At 34.7% G+C, this 22,160-nt stretch overlaps 1 long non-coding RNA gene and 1 pseudogene across 1 annotated transcript in view; one reads left to right on the top strand and one right to left on the bottom strand.

Annotated features, from left to right (window-relative positions):
* DEPDC1-AS1 (DEPDC1 antisense RNA 1) overlaps positions 1 to 22,160 on the bottom strand; it is a 41,952-nt gene that overhangs the window by 6,861 nt on the left and 12,931 nt on the right. The window contains exon 2 of the long non-coding RNA NR_110671.1: positions 2,288 to 2,442. This is a non-coding gene — a long non-coding RNA (DEPDC1 antisense RNA 1). The remainder of the gene's footprint in view (positions 1 to 2,287; positions 2,443 to 22,160) is intronic.
* TXNP2 (thioredoxin pseudogene 2) lies at positions 17,024 to 17,923 on the top strand (annotated as a pseudogene).

Below are 22,160 nucleotides of genomic sequence, written 5' to 3'. Positions count from 1 at the left end.
AGTATCTCACAGGGATTCTCTACATTTCCTAAATTTGTCAAATTCTCTAGAAAAGTTGAGGAAATTTTCTTTCTGTTCCTCTCTTTGAGGGATACCAATAAGTCACACATTTAGTCTCTTTACATAATTCCATCTTTCTCAGTGGTTTTGTTGATTCTTTTTACTCTTTTTTCTTTATTTTTGTCTGACTGAGTTGATTTGAAGAACCAGTGTTTGAGCTCTCAGATTCTTTCCTCACTTTGGTCTATACTGCTATTAATATTTGTGATTGTATTCTGAAATTCATATAGTGAGTTTTTCAGCTCCATCAGATCAGTTTGGTTCTTTCTTAAAATGGCTATTTTGTATTTCAGCTCTTGTATCATTTTATCAGTTTCCCTAGATTCCTTAAATTGGGTTTTGACTTTCTCCTTAATCTTGATGATCATTGTTTCTATCCAAATCCTGAATTCTATGTCTGTCATTTCAGCCATCTCAGCCTGGTTAAGAGCCATAGCCAAGGAACTAGTGCAATCACCTGGAAGTAAGAAGATACTCTGGCTTTTTGAGTTGCCAGAGTTCTTGTGCTGGTTCTTTCTCATCTGTGTAGCCTCATGTTCCTTTAATCTTTGAAGTTGCTGCCCTTTGGGTGGGTTTTTTTTGCTTTTACATTATTTAAGGCCCTTGAGGATTTGACTGTGGTATAAGCTAACTTCAGTTGACTGGCTTTGTTTCTGATAGATTTTCAGGGGCTCAAGACTCACCTCAGCACTCCTGGGCTGCATGCTCTAGCCCTAGGGAACTGGTATTAGGCCCAGTGCTTTGTTCTTTGGCCCCTCAAGGTTAAGCACCTGCTGCACTGGAGGGGCTGAGGTATTCCTGGTCTGCTGACAAAAACACTCCAATGGGAGGTGCCAGCCAAAGCTTTCCATTGAGGCAGTGGCAGCAGCGTCTGCACTCCAGTGTGCATGCCAACAAATCAGCACCTGAACATTTTCAACAGTGTGAAACTAAATATTATCATCAGGACATGAATAAAGTAAAAAGAAAGACAAACTCCAAAAAACACTTAAAGCAGAGAAGCCAGGAAGATGGGTGGAAAATCAAGAGAGGTTAATTTAGATATTTTGTAAGATGAGGCTAGCATGATCATTACAGAGATATTAAAGACTTCTTTTTTACCTCAACTAACTAGTGTTGACAGCCCCATTTAGGCTGAAAATAATGAATTTATAATATCACATTCCTTTGCTGGTGGTTCATATGTTTTCACAGGTAAAATGCTTGTTTTGTTTACAAAATAACACTTCATTTAACAGCTCTATTTTCTATTATTTGATAACAGCTGCATAAAGAAAAGTGCATAATTGATAATTTCATCAGATGTATGTATATGGAAAAGGTATAGTTAGATGGATATATATGGCTTTTTAAAAATTGAACACATTTTGTAGATCACATTCTTTAAACATGATTATTTTCATGGGTTGCAGAACATTCTCTGTTCACAGTTTGATGCAGAAACTGAATTAAGACTGTTGTGGTTCATTTTGTAACTAAATATCCAAAGCTATTGCATTCACTATCCCTCATTTTATATAGCCACACTTCATTTCACTGATATCGCCCAGGAATAAGGTACTCAACATCGATCAATTTTTCAGGTAGCTGAAGCTTACCCACTATATGAGTGAACTGACTTTATTTTAATTTGAAGGAAATCTAAAATATGTCATACACTTTCAGTCCTTCTTACAGAAAGTATATTATATAAAAGTATATTATATAAAATTTATAAAATTTATCTTTTTCTTGATGGTCTTGAATCATTATTATAAACTTCAGGGTTTGCATTGCACTACAATGTAGCAATGCCCTGAGGGGCGAGTCATGTAGAGCTGTTTACCTTTAGACAAAGATCACATCATGATTGGCATAATCATTCTGTATAAAATAAAGCAAAACTAAGAATGCCATGTGCTTTGAATCCAGCCATATGTGGTTTAAAATCTTGGGTCGCTTATTTAAGGTCAGGATTACTCTTTAGGTAAGTTATTAACCACTTATAATTCTTTGTTTTCCTATTAGTAAAATGGGTATAGAATTAAAAGCTAATATTTAATATGTACTAATTGTCAGATATTGTACCACAGCATCGACTCCACAATGATGAGAAATAGTATAGTGAGATTAAAAACTCAGACTTTGGAGTCAGACCACTTCCTATCTCTGTGACCATATACAGATTATTTGACTTTCCATGTCTTATTTTCCTCATTGGTAAAAATGAGATCATAAAAATACCTACCTTCTGGAGTTATTGTTGGAGTTAATATATTTGTAACACTTAGAGGAGTGCCAGGATTGTAGTACGCATTGAGTAAGTGATGATGATGATGATGATGATCCCATTTTATCCTCATAGCAGTCCTCAGAGTTCATTAATATTATGACTTCCTTATCCTAGAAATGAAGAAACTAAGGCTTAGAGATGTTAAGCAACTTGTGAAGGTCACAGCACTAGTAAAAAAGTACTGATTCCAGACCCAAGGAAACATGGGCCACTAAGAGGAAAATCCAAGATGTATTGCTCACACTGTCAGAGATGGCTTTGTTGTTCTTCAGGGTACAACCTGTATAGCTCTGTGAAACAGCCCTGCCACTAAGATAGGCTGCCTCCCTATTTCATGCAACATTTTTTGAAGGTTAACTGAAACAAAGTGTATGGAGGCAGCCAACACAGTTTCTTGTATATAGACCTAATAAATGCGAGGTGCTTTGCACCTCTTCATGCTTCAGTTTTGTTTAACCCTTTTGGCTGCATACAATCTGGTACATTCTGCACCTAAGGAGAAATTAGATAATTTGTCAATTCAATAATTAACTATAAGCTACTTTTAGGCCTGAAAAATACGCTCTTATCTTCTTTTAGAAAAAGTTTAAGGATATTTTGATAGATTTTTTTATTCTGGGTGTGATAGGCAGCTTCCAAAATGGCCCCCAGTGATCCTTACCTCCTGTTATTTATTCCCTTGGGTGATGTCTTATTTTTTGAGTATAGGCTGAACCTAGTGACTTGCTTCTAACAAATAGAATATGGTAAACGTGATGGATGACACTTCTGAGATTAGGTTAGAAAACTATGACTCCTTGCTTGCTTGCACTCTCTCTTGCATACTTATACTTGCTCACCTGGATGAAGCCAGCTGCCCTGTTGTGGGCCGCCCTACGGAGAGGCACACCTGATAAAAGCTGAAGGCAGCCTCCAAACAATAGCAGCAAAGAACTAAGGCCTTCAGTCCAAGAACTCGCAAGGAACTGAATCTTGCCAACAACTACCTGAGTATGCCTGGGAGCAGATCCAGCCCAGACAAACCTTGTGATGACTACAGCCTCAAGGTTGATGAAAGCATTGTTAGTCAGAGGACCCAGCTAATTCAGGTCCAAATTCCTGGCCCACAGAAAATGCCAACTAATAAATGGTTTTTTAGGCCACTGAATTCTGGGGTAATTTGTTATGTAGCAATAGAAACTTAATACACTGGGGCTTTTTCTACTTAGTCTCAAATCTCTGCTTGTGTTTTATATGGTTAACCAAGATCATACTACTAAAAAGAGACATGGAACCAGCAATAATTTCTAACATAACTTTTGCCACACAGTATTGTCATTTTCTGATTCCTTTCTTGCCAGTCATGCTAGACTGTGAGCTCCTTGATGGCTGAAACTGTATCTTTTATCTCTATTTTCTAAAATTATAATACTTGTTATCTAGTAATTAAAATATCTGGAGCCAAAGATGAAGTACAAACTCAAAAGAAGCAAAAGTGTGGGAGGATATGGGGAGAAAGAAGAAAAGACTGTAATTCAAGAAGGGATTTCTAATTTTGAAATCCTAAAGAAAACAAACCAGAAGGAGAATAAAGTGTGAAATGTGACAGTAATTTTGCTTGGCATACAAGCCATTTTTAATTAGCCTAGAAGTAGTAACTTATGATAGGCAATAACCACATGTGGAAGAATTAGTGGTGGGCAAAGCTCCCTCCTTGCTTTTGAGAAACACCTAGAGTTAATCGCTAATAACCTAACCCCTCTCTAACACTTCCTGGCCTCAGAAATGAGAGCCCAGGACCACAGCATCACATCCGGTTCTATTTCCAGACACATCATGGCAAAAGGATGGGGAAAACACCTCAACACATCACTTAGATCTGGCTGCTGGTCAACAAAACAAATTGTCTATATGGAGTTTCATGAGGAGAAGTTTAAAAAGCTGATATTGCATTGCCTTAAGAAAAGGCACTTGCAGGCCAGGCGTGGTGGCTCACTTCTGTAATCCTAGCACTTTGGTAGGCCGAGACAGGTGGATCACTTGAGGTCAGGAGTTCAAGACCAGACTGGCCAACATGGTGAAACCCCCATCTTTATTAAAAACACAAAAATTAGCCGGGAATGGTGTCTTGCACCTGTGGTGCCAGCTACTCAGGAGGCTGAGGCAAGAGAATCGCTTGAACTCAGGAAGCCAAGATTGCAGTGAGCCGAGTTCACACCACTGCACCACTACAGCCTGGGTGACAGAGTGAGACTCTGTCTTAAAAAAAAAAAAAAAAAAAGGAAAACACTTGCTTAGTATACTTTATCTGACCAAGGACCAAGTTGACCTGATCTTTGATAAGAATTCATTTTTCCTTAACTTCTTGGGATTTGGTCATAATTGGGTTTTGTGTAATTACTGTAATAGCTTAACTAATTTGTGCTTTTAAATTAATAGCAAAATTATTAGAATTATCCATATTTTTCTAGTCTATTCCTTGTTACTTACATTATCAGGGATAAAATAGGAAAGAGAAGACATCCTATGGACCAGAACACTGGGGATTTGGCCTCAAGTCTCAGATATCCAGCTAATCAAATGTATCCTTAGATGATATTTAACTTCTTTATGGCTTAGTTTCTTTATTACTCCAATTATTATGGTAACTGCTATTGAAATTTTGTCTAGATAAAGTGAGATGCTCAAGGTGAAAAGCCTTTGACAAGGTTAAATGAGCTGCTCAATACAAATTAAAACACAGACGTCAATCTGCATCTATTACAACCCTCCAGAAAGGATTAACCTTCTATAAGAAATTTTTCTTAATTCTAGCTTCATCAGCAATCTCCTTTCCCTAGAGTTCTTCTGTACTTTTTACATGTTTTATATTATCATGTGCTTATTTCTAATTATAATAATTTTCATTCAAGTTGATGGTACAAAAGTCAAAAATATTGTAAGATAAATATCAATGTGAACTTCCACTTGCCCATTAGCACCAAGCCAAACTACACCTGTGCCCTTGTGTAATTTTTTGACCTCTCCAATAACTTGATTAAATATTATACATCTAGAATGTTCCACAGCACCTACTTTCACCACCAGCAACAATCGGTCAATGCCTTCAGAGTCACATTTTTCAGGATGCCTTATACTATTATTCTAGGATATACAAAGTATTATTTCCAGGAAGTTGGAGTTTATAGAGAACCAAACCTCCCAGTTTTAGGAAAATCCATGCCTGAGACAAGGCCCCTTTAAAAAAAGAATTTTTTTTTTTAATCTTCATTTTGGTCCTAAGAAGCCCAGGTTACTCTCTCCAACTTTACCTGATACCTGATTGGAACTAGGCCATGGTACACCCTTTCAACACACAAGTCCAGTACTTGTGCCTATAACTCTAGGTAAACATCAAGATAGACACTTTGTTTGCTACCCCCAGGCCAGTGAGGTAAACCTTGCTGGATTAGAGAGCCCAATACCAGCATGCCTTCTTCTGCTGCTGCTGTAAGAGGAGCTCTTCTCCTCACCGTTTCTCTAAAACTCATCTCCCTGGCATCTAGGGAGTTCCTCCGCATTTGGCACAGGTAAAACTGAGTATACACATGTCATAACATAATTCTTAGTTGATTAATATATCATCTCTATTTTTTCTTAGGTTCTCTACTCTCACTGCTTCATTGTACCAGATTCACTTTTCCTTGTCTTTGGGAGACTGAAGTAATGGGAAGGAAGGTGAAGAGGAGAGGTTCACTATCTCCACAAGAGTACCTATCTGAGGGTCCTACCTCAACAAGAACATTATAGAGATGCTGAGTCACCATGTCACCATGGGGTTGGTTAGCATTGCAGTCCCTCAATTATAATCATGGTGCCCTATTCTGGAGTTACTTCTGTGGCATGAAGGCATCTGCCAGTGCCTTCCAAACCACCCAAACTTCCAGGGTAAGCACTCTTATCTCCCAGGGTACACCAGTTATTCCTCAATATTATTCTGGATTTTAGAGAGTATATAGTGAAGAGCCCTAAACTGTGCTCTTTTATAAGCCAGGAAGCTGGTCCTAGAAAAATATCATGTTCCATCCAGCTAATGTTAAGTTTCCTCTTATGTGAATGCTGTTCATGCCATTATCAAAGCACCAAACACAGCATTGTATTGAAGTTATCCCACCTTTTTTGTTAAAGTGTGCATTCTTTACAGACAACTACCAGATCACACATATTTCTTAGAGCTGTATGTCTGCATATGTCTTTTGAATTGAATTGCATTAAGTCAGGGATGTGATCCTGGGAAATTCTGAATCTCTGAGTTCTCTTTGCTATATTTTATATTATCAACAAGAAAATGTTCCTAAAAACCTCATAATAAAAATATTAAGCAATTTTCAATATGAATTTTCTAGAACATTGAACTTATGATTGTAAAAATTATTTCTAATTCTTTAGTATTGCTGTCATTAAATTTTTCAAAAATATGTACATCTCAATATCAATGTATATTAATATTCTAATTCTTTGACCTAAGTAAATGTTGCTTTATTCAACTACCACAGTAAGATTCTGTCACTATAATAAAAAATCCAGTACTTTTCATTTTAAAATAAATATGGTAGTACAAAACAGTATTATAAAAGATTGTGGATGCTTGGATAAGCAGTGGTTAGGAAGTAGAAAAGCATCATATTTCCTGTATTAATCATGATTTAAAGACATAATAAAATCTTAAAATTAAGCAACTGAGTAATTGAGTAACAGAATAGAAATTGCTTTCAGTGAAAAAGCTAGTCCATCATTTTCAGTTTTAGACCATTAATTATAGAGTATTCTTACTTACTGCTTTCTGTTAGTAATAGATGGTTTCATGGTAATAAATGCAACGTAAATTTAGCTCTTTATAATTCCTTATGACCTCTTGATTTTAAAGTTGACAAATCTCCTTAGATTATAATGTTCTGTAAAATATTCCATGTATATAGGAGTCAAATGCTATCCAAAGTATTTACCTCTCCAAAATTGCCCCTAAACTACCCACTCAACCACAAATACACATAAAGAACCTATAGAGGTACAATCTTTATTTTCTTTTGTATGATAGTACAATCTCACTCTCTCTAAAGTGGCAGATAAGGTTGCCTTTTGTGAAAGAGCAGAGTATTGCAGTTCATGTCATATTTCTTCACTTATTCTACAGCATTTATTGATAGACACAATATGGCCTTTCATGGAAACTACAGTCATTGGACTGTCATTGGCATATATTAACACTCGAGCTCACTGCATTCTTGAGACTGTGTCCATTCAAGCACAACCTGGGCAACTTGAGTAGTTCTTCTTTAAGTACTCCATTTAATAGAAGCCCACCTACTCATACATTTTGTAACACCCAGGTTCTCCATCAGAGCATCTAGGACCCCATGTGCTGTCACTCACAGAAGTCTGAAGTTCACCTGCAAATAACCTGAAGTAAATTATCATGATCCCAAATCATTTTGTCCATGATTACAAAAATATTTAGTTATACCACCACCTTTCATTCTTGCTCTTTCTCTCTTGAAGGCTTTGGACTCTATAGGCTGGTCTACACTCCATTCATCACCATTGGCCAGCCAAACAAGATTGTTTTTCTCTTACTATGCTATAGAAGAATATTCAGAAATTAACTTGAAGGCATGCACTCAGAAATGTAACTTCCAATGACAAGAGGAGGAAAAGAAAACAAAAGTTATCTGAGAGCAAGCTAGCAGAGAAATTAAAATAATATATTCTACACTTCAAAGCCATGGTGATTTGTCTGGAAAAGTGAGGATAAAATGAGTAATGAATTTAACAGAGATGGTATTTATATTTCACAAGGGCAGAATGATCCCTAAAGAATAAGAAATGTGGAAGGAAACTGGAAATAAAATGGTAAGACAAGCAAATATATAAATGGATCTGCTGTCAGACAAGATAACAGTGAAGGTAAGCTGTTAACAGATGCCATCAAGAAGCATTGTAATATGATTGGCCTAGGAGACAATATACATATAAAATTATTTATTAGTAGTTGACAGCAATGTATGAGAACATTAACGTTTCTTTATGATTGATCACTGTTTTTATTCATTTGTATCTGATCAGAATTTTGTATTAATTAGAACCTCAGCATTATTTAACGTAGAGAAAAAGTATAAATTTTGCTGGGCACTCACTCTTTAGAAGAGACAAAATAACCTTGAAGTGGGACCATAAAGCATCACGATTTACAGGCTACAAGTCTCAGGGGAGGCCCTTATACAGAGTTTCTCACAAGGCAAAAAGCGTTTCTAACACCTCTTCACGTGGTTGATTCATACTTGGTGTTGAATATTATCCTAGGCCTTCTTTGAGCTAAATGTCCCTCCAATATACCTCCACAAATCGTATACCTCTTTTATCAGAGCAACAATTAAACCTTATTTTATTGGCTTGTATTTCTTGCTAGACTGTAACTTGGAGTGAAACTGTATTTTCCTGACTAATATAGACCCAGATCTAACAAAGTTACCAGAACATAGTAGGCAGTCAACGAATATTTATTGAAGTAATGAAAGAGCACTTAGATAGGAGTGATGACTTACAAAAGAGTCAAAAATATCTAGTTTTTAAACTAGATTTCTTTTAAGAAATTTGTCATTTCTTGATAGGCACTCCTAAAGAATCTTAAAAAGGATTGATGTTATGGCCCCTAGGAAATGTATGCCTATTAGAAGCTTAGGCTTCTAGGAAGTAGACATCCAACCTAAATACATTTTCATTATGGTGACAGAGAAAGGCAAATATGCTAGACCCATTTCTATCCAAGCCTGATTCTCAGAGTCTAGCAGTTCATTTTATAGTGTCCATGATACCATGTTTCCTATATTTAGAATTACTTCTAATAACTGAAACCCAATGTCTAAATTCTCCAGTGTGCAGTGAAGATAGAATTACATTAAAAGTTCATGAGCTTTAAAGTGCCAACTGCAATATAACCCCATTGCAATTGCTTGTAACTGTACCATAACCATGTTTTATGAAGAGACAACCTATGAATAAGTTAGCATTTTGATCATTATTTGGTACATATGAACACTTTATTTTTCCCCTCTATTTTTTAATAGTTAACATATGCCTTGAATAGTAGTTTTTCAGTTATAAATAACTTCTCTTAATATAAGACTAAAAAAGATTTTTAGTCCTTGTGTCTGATTATCCAAGAATTTCATTGTGAATAATTTTATTTTTAAATTTATTTTCAAGTATAAAAATGAACCTATTAATTTTAAGGAAAAAGGAAACAAGTGTAGTAACACACAAAATGTTATATATTATATTTAAATTTTTTAAAGAACAAACACTACTAAAATGGTTGGGATGATTTAATTGATAGGGTATTTTTGTACTGTGGTTATTATTTTTGCTACATAGTGTAACAGTTTTATTATTTCTGCAGAAACACTGAAGCTTTTTTAAATTTTGAATTATTTGAATACAAAGATCTACAAATAAGAATGTAGAAAAATGTAAAAATATTTAAAAAATCAATTACATACTGAGCCTGCAGCAAATACTATGAGAACTAAACAGCAATGTGAAGATTATTTCTTTCAGAATAACAAAGAACAATTATCTTAATATCTAGAAAAGGAATTTTACAAGAGAGAAATTCAATTTTCCCTCATAAAAAATTATTGGCAAAAAATTCATTTAAAAATTCTTTATTTGATAAGTTATGATATCCTCTCACTCAATAATCAAGGAACTATTTATTAGTAATTCACTATTGTACCTAATACAGGTATAAAACCTGAACAGATGCATCCAGCAGCTGTTTGAGAACTCTGAAAAGTAAGTGGCAAGGAGACTGGGAAGAAAATCAGATATCAAAGTACCACTGAAAGGGCAGTGAGTTTTAACTTTTATTTTACTCTAGCATCTCCTGTCCTGGACTCAATTCAGCAGGAAATCTGGAAATAGAATTTGATTGTAAACAGATAAAGTGCCAGGAGAATTCCTCCAGTTCTGGCTTAAGAAGCTCAAGGAGTGGAAAAGCAATCTCCCAACACTCAGAGAATGCAGGAACTCCATTTTTCTTTCTTGTTCTCCATTCTCTCATGTCCCTGCCCCCAAGCAATCCAACAGTGGCTCAAAGACCATGACTGAGGTAGCATTGGGAGGTACAAGGGCTGAAAACTCTAAGGGAGGAAAACTTTCATTTCCAGTCACAGGAGCTGTAATTAAAGGAAGTAAGGTAATTTTTCCCCACCCTCTTTGAAATGGTTTGGCCCTGTGTCCCCATCCAAATTTCATATTGAATTGTAATCCCCACGTGTCTAGGGAGGGACCTGTAATGCCACAGGTCAAGGGAGGGAGGTGATTGGATCACAGGGATGGTTTCCCCCATGCTGTTCGCATGACAGTCAGTGAGTTCTCAAGAGATCTGATGATTTTATATGTGTTTGGAAGTTCCTCCTTTGGTCTTCTCTCTCACCTGCCACCCTGTAGGACATGCCTGCTTCCCCTTCCACCAGAATTGTAAGTTTCCTGACACCTCCCCAGCCATGCAGATCTGTGAGTCAATTAAACCTCTTTTCTTTATAAATTACCCAGTCTCAGGCAGTTCTTTATAACAGTGAGAACATGTACTAACACACTCTTATTATCTTGTTGCTTTGTACCAGATGTGGAGAGAGTCACAAGAAGTGCGTGTCAGAGTGGAGTAATAAAGATACAGTAAGAGGACTAATGAGGGGAGCCCCAGGAAACAGGAAAGTACAGGAAAGAGTGCAGATACAAAATCTTGAAATCTTGAAATAAAATACAGTTGATATTTGAACAACAAAAGATTGAACTGCATGAGTCCACACAGTGGATATTTTTCAATAAATACAGTCAGCTCTCTGTATTGGCAGATTCCATATCCACAGTCAAACATGAATTGAAAGTACAATATTCATGGAATGTGAAACTTGAGCATACAAAGGCCACCTTTTTGTATCTGAGGGTCCCACAGGGCTGACTGTGGAACTTGAGTATGCACAGATTTTGGTATCCACAGGGGGATCTTAACCAATCTTCTGCAGATAGGGAGGAATGATTATAGAAAATATAAAGAAGAACTAGATGGATATTTTAGAACTAAAAGATGCAATAACAAATTTTAAATCTTACTAGTTGGGCTCAGTAGCAGAATAGAGAGGACAAAAAAAAAAACTACTGAAGATAGAACAATAGAAATTATCATCGTCCCCCCTTATGCAAGGTTTTGCTTACCCATGGTCAACTGCAATCTGAAATATTAAATAGAAATACCAGAAGAAACAATACACAACTTTTAAAACATGTGTGGTTCTGAGTAGCATGATGAAATCTCACACCATCCCACTTTGTCCCACTCAGGACATGAAATCATCCCTTTCTCAAAGCATATCCACACTGTGTATTCTACGTGTCCATTAGTCTCTTAGTGGCCATAATTGTTGTCACATCAACTGTTGTGGTATAGCAGAGCTTGTATTCAAGTAACCCTTATTTATTTACTATTGTTCCCAAGGTACAAGTAGTAATGCCGGCAATTCGGATATGCAAAAGAGAAGCCATCAGGTGCTTCTTTTAAGTGAAAAGGTTGATAAAAACTTCAGTTGAATTAAATTTGGAAGAGTTTAATTGAGCAATGAATGCTTTACAAATTGGAAAGCATCCCAAGCCAGGGTATGCTCAGAGACTTCAGCATAGCCATGTGGTGGAAGAAGATTTATGAACAGAAAAAGGAAAGTAACTTACAGAAATCGGAAGTGAGGTGCAGAAACAGCTGGATCAGTTACTGTTGGTGTTTGCCTTATTTGAACATGGTTTGAATAGCTGGCTACATTTGATTGGCCAAAGCTCGGTGATTGGCACAAGTATAGGCTATGGTCTGTTACATCTCCACTTGTTATAGTTCACAATGTACAGAGAACCCTTTAGGCTGAACTTAGATTATATAAGGATGCAGCTTTAGGCTAAACTTGATTTAATAAGGTGAAAGTTTTCAATTTAATAAAGAAATGAAATAAATCATATGCCGAGATTACTAAGATTACAGTAAGAATGAATGTTCTATTTGTGAAATTGTAAAGAAGGAAAAGGAAATGTGCACATAGTCTATACAGGGTTTGATACTGTCTGCCTTTCAAATATCCATGAGGGGTCTTGGAACGTAACCCCTGAGAATAAGGGGGAACTATGGTATATGATCTGAAAAGCAGGGGAAAAATGATTGAGAAACCTCAGGAACATGTGGTGCGATAATGAAAGAGCTAATATTCTGTTATTTTAGTCACAGAGACAAGAAAGAATATGTTAATTTTAAAAACCTTGAAGAAATAAGGGCTGAAAATAACCCAAATGTGAAGAAAAGACATTAAGCTACAGATTCAAAAAATTCAGCAAACCCAAACAGAAAAATAACAACAACAACAACAAAATCATGCCCAGAGCCATCCTATTCCAACTGCTGAAAACTAAAGACAAAGAAAGTATCATGAAAAAAGCCAAAGAAAAATGATGTATTACTTATAGGGAAACATTTATTCTAATGACTGCAGCTGTCTCATTGAGGCCAGAAGGAAGTGAAACAACATTTATAAAGTGCTGAAAGAAAATAATTTCAACCCAGAATTCCATATTCAGAGAAAATGTCTTTTAGGAATTAAGATAAAATATTCTCAGATGGATAATAAACTAAAAAATGTGTTGCCAGCAGATCTGTTCTAAAAGAATCATTAAAGGAACTTCTTCAGACAAAAGGAAAATAATACCCAAAAGATGCCTGTAGCATGGAGAATGAAGGAAGAACAACAGAAATGTTAAGCATCTCAGTAAATATAACAAAGTCTTCTTGTCTTCTGTAGTTGTTTAAAGTGTGTTTGATCTTTTAAAGCAAAAATTGTAACATTCTCTCATGCATTCTTAATGTATGTAGATAGAATACATTATGGTAAATACAACTGAAGAGGGAACTATATGGTGAAAAGGTAACTGGCTGTTTTATGCAGGATAAACTTTAAGGAAACAAAAGTAGACGTGGGAACTACAATTATAATGTGGCTGCCTACAGGAAAGTGATCTTTAAAGTCAGAAGCAAGAATTATCAGGAATAGATTTGAAGTGGTGTAAAGTGAAATTCTTAATATAGCAAATACATTATCAGAATCTGACCCATGCTTACCATTACAGCTTCATATCAGTCTCCTTTTCCTTGTACTATATATTCTACTTATGCAAATTACCTGCAATTCTCTGTATATTCTATACTTACATGCCTCTATGACTCTTGTATAAGTTGCTTCTTCTCGTGAGATTGACCTCCTTCCTTCCTTTCTCCACCTGGCTAATTAAATTCATTCATCAAGATTAGCTCAGGTGTTTCCTCCTGACATAACTTCCCCCAAAGTTAGGTTTCATGATGTTCCTAAGCATCCCACATAGTTTATTACAGTGGCCATGGTGCTTAAAAAGATATACTATCTGTTCATTTGCCTTCATATTTAATTAATAAAGAAATATGTGCTCAATATAAAAATTTCAAACAAGAGAATAAAATACATCTTAAAGAAACAACGAATACAAATTTTACATGGAGTAAATATTTACTTCATGTACCTTTGCCTCCCCAGATAAGTGTGTGTTTATCAAGTTTTTTTTTTCTTTTTACTTAAATCCTTTCTCAGATGGAGCTTTTCATTCCAGCGGGTGAAAACAGATTTTATAAAATATACATATATTACGTTGATGCTGATAGTATCTAAGAAGAAAAATTAAACAGGATAATAGGGAAAAGAAGGAGTAGGATTTATAATCATTCCACAACAGTGTCCCCTTTGCCACACTCTGCCTTACATATTATAAATTTTGTAATGTGCAAAAACTGGAATATACTATTTAATTAGAATTTCTCTGATTATTAGTGTGTGCAGATATTTCACAGGTTAACTGACCATGCAACTGTCAGTTTACATGATTATTTCATTCAACAGAACATAAGCTCCTTGAAGCCAATAACTGCAAGTTTCGTGTCCCTGGATCCTAGCATAGTACCTAGTATAAAGTAGGCTGAATGAATGACAATGTAAGAAACATTATATATGTGTGTGTGCATGGCATGTGCATGTGTGTCTGTATAAAGCAAAAGTTCTCTTAAATCAATGCATCATAAAAACAATTTGAAAATAAATGAACATATTTAAAATAAATTTAGATTAGTTTAAAAATGCATTGAATATGACCTCTAGTACTTCTCCTATTTAGTTGTACCTTGGTACCATTATTAGAATGATCTTAACTAATGTGTTAAATTAAATGCCCAAAGGTAAAATTACTTTTATGAATAATGTTTAATGATCCAGCAGAACAAAATCAAACCTAGATTTTAGGATAATTTTCAAAACATATTTTTAAAACTTAGTATTTTAAAGTCACTGTTGAATAAATGCATGTTCTGAAATTTGGTAAATTTATTATAAATTCCTGGAACTGGAAGAATCTTAGATATCTACTTCAACTTCTTCATTTTACAAATGAGAAAATTAAGAACCAGGGGAGGGATTTGCCAAGGTCTCATAGTTAATTAATGGCAAAGCCAAGATTAGAATCAATATTCCTTGACTCCTTCCTAGAGCAGTGCTCGTTCTAGCACACTACAAAGCCTTTCATAGTTACAGTAAATTCTGAACTTATGAATGGATTGTACTTTAAATATTCATTTATGAATCATTTGTGGCTAGAACTGGGAATTCATTTTCCCCTGGAAATAATTCTTAAAATTTGACTGAGTTTCTAATATAACACCCACATAAAGGTCCTGTAAGGAACTAATAGTTTTTAATTCAACAGCCTGCACAATGAGGAAGAATTAAAGTTAAAGGGAAGGCTAGTTTTATGTGAAAGTCCTTACACCTCATAGATGAAGCTTCCTGAACACATGTTACTAATGATTCTTGCAGTTGAAAAAGGCAGGATGACTTTCTAACCAGGTATTACTGTGATTCTAGAACACTTTCCCACCTTTAATATCCAACTTCGTAAGGATTAGATTTGGGGATATTTTTCCTTTGTACTTAGAATATCTGCCAGATGTCTTGTAGTTGCCAGCCATCCTCAGCTGCGTGCCTGCCTGACTCCAAAACTTTTCTGTAGGAGCTGGCAAGACTTGCATTAAATATGACAGTTTCAACATACTTGTTGGCTTAAGTCCAGCCAACACTGACTACCCAGGGTAACTAAATGTTCTTATTATCTTAAATAATCTAGGCCTACCCCAGATATGGCAGCAGTGTGACTATCTCCCTAAACTCATAGGAAGTATATAAAAGAGATGAAAGACCTAAGAAAAATCTGGGTATTATAAGGGAAATAGATGCTGAGTGATCAATCAATAAATGTCTGCTACAGCAAGAGAGAATGTTCCTTGTTTTATGAATTTTCTTCTAGACACAGTGTCATTTCCAGATTTCACGGCAGTCTTTCCTCAACACAAAATTCACAAACTACCTTCTCCTCTATAAATCTCCTTCTACCAGTCATTTTCATACCCTGAGTTTGTCAGATTTCCCATGTATACAATATAGTTACAAAGCAGCCAGCCAAATCATTTTTCTGCTTTATGAATGAACATAAACATAATGCATATATTCATATCTGTGTCTTAGACCTATATAATTGTACAGCTAAAGATCAATTGATTTTAATAAATCAATCTTATTGAAAAACATAAAAATTACATTAAACAAGGGCAAATCCAGACATTTGATGGTTGTATATTAAATTAGCATTTTTCATGTATATTAACTGAAATTCATTAATGAAATTTGCTCCCTGCAGATAAGCTCTGACTAAGCAAAGTTAAAAGAGAATAAAAAGTTGGCATTAGAGTTTAAAGAAAAGTAGAAGACTATAAAATTACATATGATATGAAGACTAGAATTTCCTACAGCCACATCCCTTACTTCCATCTCTCTGCAGAAAAGACAGAAGATAAAGAAAGAAAAGCAAAGCAGACAGAATGAAGGAAGATGTAAGAGGAAACTACTGCATGTGAATGATTGTAATGGAAAAACTGAAACTCTGTATTAACCATGGAATATAATTTACAAAATGGCATTACTTTTATTATCATGCACTAAACACACACACACAAATTCGAATTATTCAGAGAGAAGAAATCCAAGGGAAGCTAAAAATAATAATATTCAAGTATAGTAAAACCCAAGCAAAACAAAATTAGGAAGTGCTTAATTAAAAACTTTTTCACATAATTTTTAATGCACATATTAAGCATTAACAGGACATCAAGGGAAGTGATTTATTTTAGGAGGATTTTCAACAATTATGTTGAAACCAATAGTATTTTGATTAAACAGAAAACTCTGATTACTATACCTCATACATACTTAAGTATTATTTTAATCTGAATTTCAAATATATACATGTATGATGTATAGAAGTAGATATATGGATATATAGTTAGTATGCTTAAACAGTCTTTTCACAAAGAATAAACTCTAAAATGCAGTATTTACATTTGGAAAGTCTAAGATATTGGTATTCATCTTTTAAAACCAATTTGAATTCCCTATCTCTGAAGACTTCTAAATGGGGTATGAGTTAAAAGTAGTCAAGCTTAAGTGTGTACATTGATATGCTACTACAGAGAACTCCAAAGACCGTCCACCAAAGATCTAATACGCAAAAAGCTCAGCCTGGTGCTTTGGATTCATTTCTATCTATTCTTACAGTTGCTAGTCAGACCTCAACAGTCAAAATGGTGAAGCATATTGAGAACAAGTATGCTTTTCAGGAGGCCTTGGACAATCTAGGAGACAAACCTATAGTAGTTGATTTCTCAGCCACGTGTTGCAAGCTTTACAAAATAATCGAGCCTTTCATTCCCTCTCTGCAAAGCATTCCAAGATGGTGTTGCTTGGAGTAGACATGGAAGACTGTCAGGAAGTTGCTTCAGAGTGTGAAGTTAAATGCATGCCAATTTTTGAGTTTTTTTTAAAGGACAAAAGGTGTGTAAATTTTCTAATAAGAAAAAGCTTGAAGTCACTATTAATAAATTAACCTAGTTATGTTTTCTATTTCTTTTTTTTTTTTTAGACAGGGTCTCACTCTCACCCAGGCTGAAGTACACTGGTGCAACCATGGCTTACTGCAGCCTCCACCTCCTGGGCTCAGGTGATACTCCCACCTCAGCCTCCCAGGTAACTGGAACTACAGGCATGTGCCACCACACCTGGCTAATTTTTTGTATTTTTTGGAGCAGTGGGGTTTCTCCATGTTGCCCAGACTAGTCTCAAACTCCTGGGCTCAAGCAATCTGCCTGCCTGGGCCTCCCAAAGTGCTGGAATTACTTTGTGGTAATACTTTGTGGTGTGAGCCACTGCACCCAACCCTAATCATGTTTTCTGAAAACATAACCAGCCATTAGCTACTTAAAACTTGTAATGTTTTATTTATAGGAAGGGTGAACTATGGAGCTCCAGCTGCCTTGTGATTATGAATGAGAATAAAATATTAATTCTAAGAAAATAATATGCAATTATGTGAAAGCATTCATATAAACCACAGGGAGAAAAGTGACAAGTAATTTTCTGTGTTGTCCCATATATGACTGAGGTTTCTTAGACTCATCATTTATCATCATTGCATTGCAATTTTTATTATCATAGCTATCCTTAACCAGCCCAAATATAATTCTGCTTCTCCTTCTAGTTTTCATTAAACATTTCCATGAAGTCTTTCTAGTCTCTCCTGAACAGATATGGGTCCTTCTTTTTACTGTGTTCCCATAGCACTTTGAACACACCTCCATTATCACAGTTAAATAACTGCAGTTCAGTGCTTGTTTACATGACCATTTCCGAAGTAGGTTGTAATTTCCTAGAGAGAAATATTATATTATTTTGCCAAAGTAACTTCTACTTTGGGGAGTTCAATATATACTTGTCAAATAAATGAATAATTGAAACTGTGCCAAAGAGTAATTTCTTCAATAAATTATATAATATAGGTAGGAGTTGAGACACAAGACAGTTTTTCTGACACATTTTCCATTCCCACACTCTCTCTATTACAATAGAAAAGGCCTATCACTGCCTCCTTAATACAAAAAAGGAAGTATTTCCTGCTCCTTTAAAGGCCAGTCTCTCCACTTCTACTCTATTCTCAGTTTCTCATAGAGCTTGCATTATCTGTCTGTACATTATCAGTTATTCTCTTAAGCTTAATTATTCCCATCTTTAAATAATAACTATCACAGTTTTCATAAGTAATGTATGTAAACTATTTTAAAAATTAACTAATTAGGTAAATATAATGGAATAAATGCTTATAAGTAAACATGTCAAATAATTTAGAATCTAAAGTTATATTAAATTAAATAACAGATATTAATTAAATGTCTGGGTTATTTCCCATCTAAAAAATTATAAGAAAACATTTTTCTCAAAAAAAGTGTTCTTAAAGGAAAATGATTTTTGTCTTATTCAAGGTTATGTAAAGGTTATTTATAAAACAGGGCAAAAGGTACCAGTAAATAAGAGACATATAAAGAATCTTATAACTATAAAGAGCTACTTTGGGTAAGAAAAATTGAAGGGGGAATAATTTTATATGAAAAAAATCTTATATGGTAAACTTTTGTCCTAAAATAAAATGAATAGGAGGTTAAGGATAAAATGAAAAACCTAAGCAAGTCATAAATGGTGTGTGTAAGTCAATAAAATTTGTAAAAAGAGGCTTTATGGAAAAAAAACTTTATGTGATCAAGTTGGCTATAATTAAAAGAAAATTAGTTATAATAGTCTTTCTAGAGATTGGTCTTTGATATTTAAAATACACTAATACACTAAATAATTGGTTAGAACTACAAAATTTTCTTAAGGTATTATCTCTTAATAAAATTACAAGAGGGCTGGACATGGTGGCTCACACCTGTAATCCCAGCACTGTGAGAGCCCAAGATGGGAGATCACTTGAGCCCAGGGGTTCAAGACCAGCCTGGGCAACACACTGAAACCCATTTCTACAAAAAAAAAAAAAAATAGAAAAAATTATCCAGCATGGTGGCATGCACCTGCAGTCCCAGCTACTCTGAAGGCTGAGGTGGGAAGATCTCTAGAGCCCAGGAGATCAAGGCTGCAGTGAGCCATGATCACACCACTGCAACACAGCCCAGGCAACAGAGTGAGAACCTATCTCAAACAACAAAACAAAAAATAATTAGAAGAAATTTTAATTTATTTTTAACCCAGAAGTTCAACTTTTATTGCATCTTGCTGTTTTGAGCTTTCTTTCCTTTTTGAGAAGGGCTGAAGTAATAACGCTCAACTTTTTAATCAGCTCCTATAACGTTTTCCTCAGGTTCTAACTATTGTTGTAGCCTGATGCTAAAAATGTTTTATCTCAAATGTCTAAAGCAAATGTTTTCTTCCAATATAACATCCTGTGCATTGGCTTTAAATTGTTCTATTAAACTAAAACTTTTCACTTATGATCCAGAATACATTCTTCCTATGTCTAACTAATTCAAATACCATTTTCTTTAGTTTTGACTTGCAGGTTATCTAAGTGGACTTCCCATAGGGGAAAGGAATCACAGTGCAGAAGGTTTTTTTGGGGGGGGATTGTTTGTTTTTGTTTTTTTGCCTTTTGGTACCTGGACTAACAAACAGATTTTACATTTTATCAAAATTATTACTATTTAATTATTATTAAGTTTTATTATTATTTTTAATAACTTAATTATTATTAAATTTATTATTGATTTGCTTAGGAAAACTGAGGTTTTTAAAAACTCTTTAAAATTAAGTTTATTACATCCATGTAACTTTCTGTATTACTTTTATTTATTTGTTAACCTTAATTTAAAATTTAAAAATGCTTTATTACTGAAAAATGCTAGCAGTTATCTGAGCCTTCAGTGAGTCATAATCTTTTTGCCAGTGGAGTGTCTTGCCTGGATGTTGATGGCTGCTGACTAAACAAATTTGTGATTGCTGAAGGTTGGGGTGGCTGCGGTAATTTCTTTTTCTTTTAACTTTTGTTTTAGGTTCAGGGGTACGTGTGCAAGTTTGGTATAAATTTGTGTCACAGAGGTTTGTTGTACAGTTTATTTAATCACCCAGGTACTAAGCCTCATACCCAATAGTTATATTTTCTAATCCTCTCCCTCCTCCCACCCTTCACCCTCAAGTAGGCCCCAGTGTCTGTTATTCCCTTCTTTCTGTCACTGAGTTCTCATCATTTAGCTACCACTAATAAGGGAGAACATGCAGTATTTCTGTAATTCTTTTAAAGTCCTTATGCTATTAAGTTACAGGGCTTCAATTCTTGGGTCTAAAAAGGACATCAAGTCCTGCTAAATCTTAAACAAGGGCAGTAGTTAAAGCATCATCTTCAGACTTGGGGGAAGATGATAATCAAAACAAACTGTGTTCATGAGACACAGGGCCAAGAATTAAAAGTATTCCACCCTTCTAGGCCTAGAGACTATTGTGGAAGAGGTAGGCACATGAAATCATAAGGGCCAATTTTGAGAGATAAAATTAATTCAGTTTCTTTATAAATTAAATGTTAATGTTGAAGGCAAACTGATACAAGACCAGCATCAGGGCCTCTGTGTCAGATTAACAAGGTTTTCTTGGAGCATTAAACTGCCTTTTAAAAAACTTATAAATGGTTACAAAGATGTTTGATGGAAATTATGTCTTATGGTCAAGATTATTAAAATTTTATAGATGTTTACAACATTTGAGAGACAGACTTAATTGGCCTCATGCTGTCTTTGTTAGGGCTTATTGTTTGGGAAATTAAGTCTCCTCTATCAATGAGTAAAGGTTTTTTGCCTTTTTAAAATTTTGAGTTATCATTTTGGGTAAATAAATGACTTATAGTGACCTGGAATTCTATTTTGTAATATCAAGTGTTTTAAACTTTGATATTTGACAAACTTTCCATAATCAAATTTTAAATTATGTTTTTTTGACCTAATTAACCCTTTGAGATATTAGGTCCCCCAAAGACCAAAAGAGACATATTCAGTTTATTTGATACATTAAATTCATATAGGAAGCATTGTCAAATGTAAAATGATGTGTAACTTTCTTTCTTTAAGTTATAATCACATAAATGTTATTAGTATGCATTACAAAATCATATAAAATTTCTATATTCTGATATGTCTCAGTATATATTGTCAGTAATAATTGTAATTGTTATGTTAAATTGCTGTATACCACAGAGGTGACCAGATTTTCTTGTCAATTGGGTTTTTAATTGTGGCTGTTCTAAGACTTTTGTCATCCAAAGACAATTGTTGTCTTGTTTTAATCCTCTTCAAAAGGCAGTTTATAATCAGCCATAGGACTCTTGGACTCTCTGATAACTTTGAAAATTGGGCCATTGAAGTAGAAAAACAAAACAGATAAAACAATTTCCAGGACTCTCATAGAAAGCTAATATATTCCAAAGGATTCCTGACACGGACTAAACTAATAAAAGGCTGAAATAATCTTTTAGTGATTTTTTTTTTTTGCTTAAAATGTTGCTGATCCTTTTCATTTTGTTTTTCAGAGTCAAGAAAACTTTTGTTTTCTTTTGAGCTATTTACAGCTTTTAGCAAGTGAGTAAATATACTCCTGTAAGAAAAATTTGGAGCATATTTCTTTCTCTCTATCTGATTTCTCCAGAATTTGGAAACTATTTGTGAATATTCTTAACTTATGGCAATATAGTTTTTGCATAAGTGCAATAAGAATCTGTTTTCTTTAGTACAGGACCCAATTGGAGACACTGGTTATTTTACCAAGGCTTTGACTGGAATGGC

Source organism: Homo sapiens, chromosome 1 (assembly GCF_000001405.40).
Source record: "Homo sapiens chromosome 1, GRCh38.p14 Primary Assembly".
Taxonomy (NCBI): Eukaryota; Metazoa; Chordata; class Mammalia; order Primates; family Hominidae; genus Homo; species Homo sapiens.
This window is presented reverse-complemented; position numbering and strand designations above follow the sequence as displayed.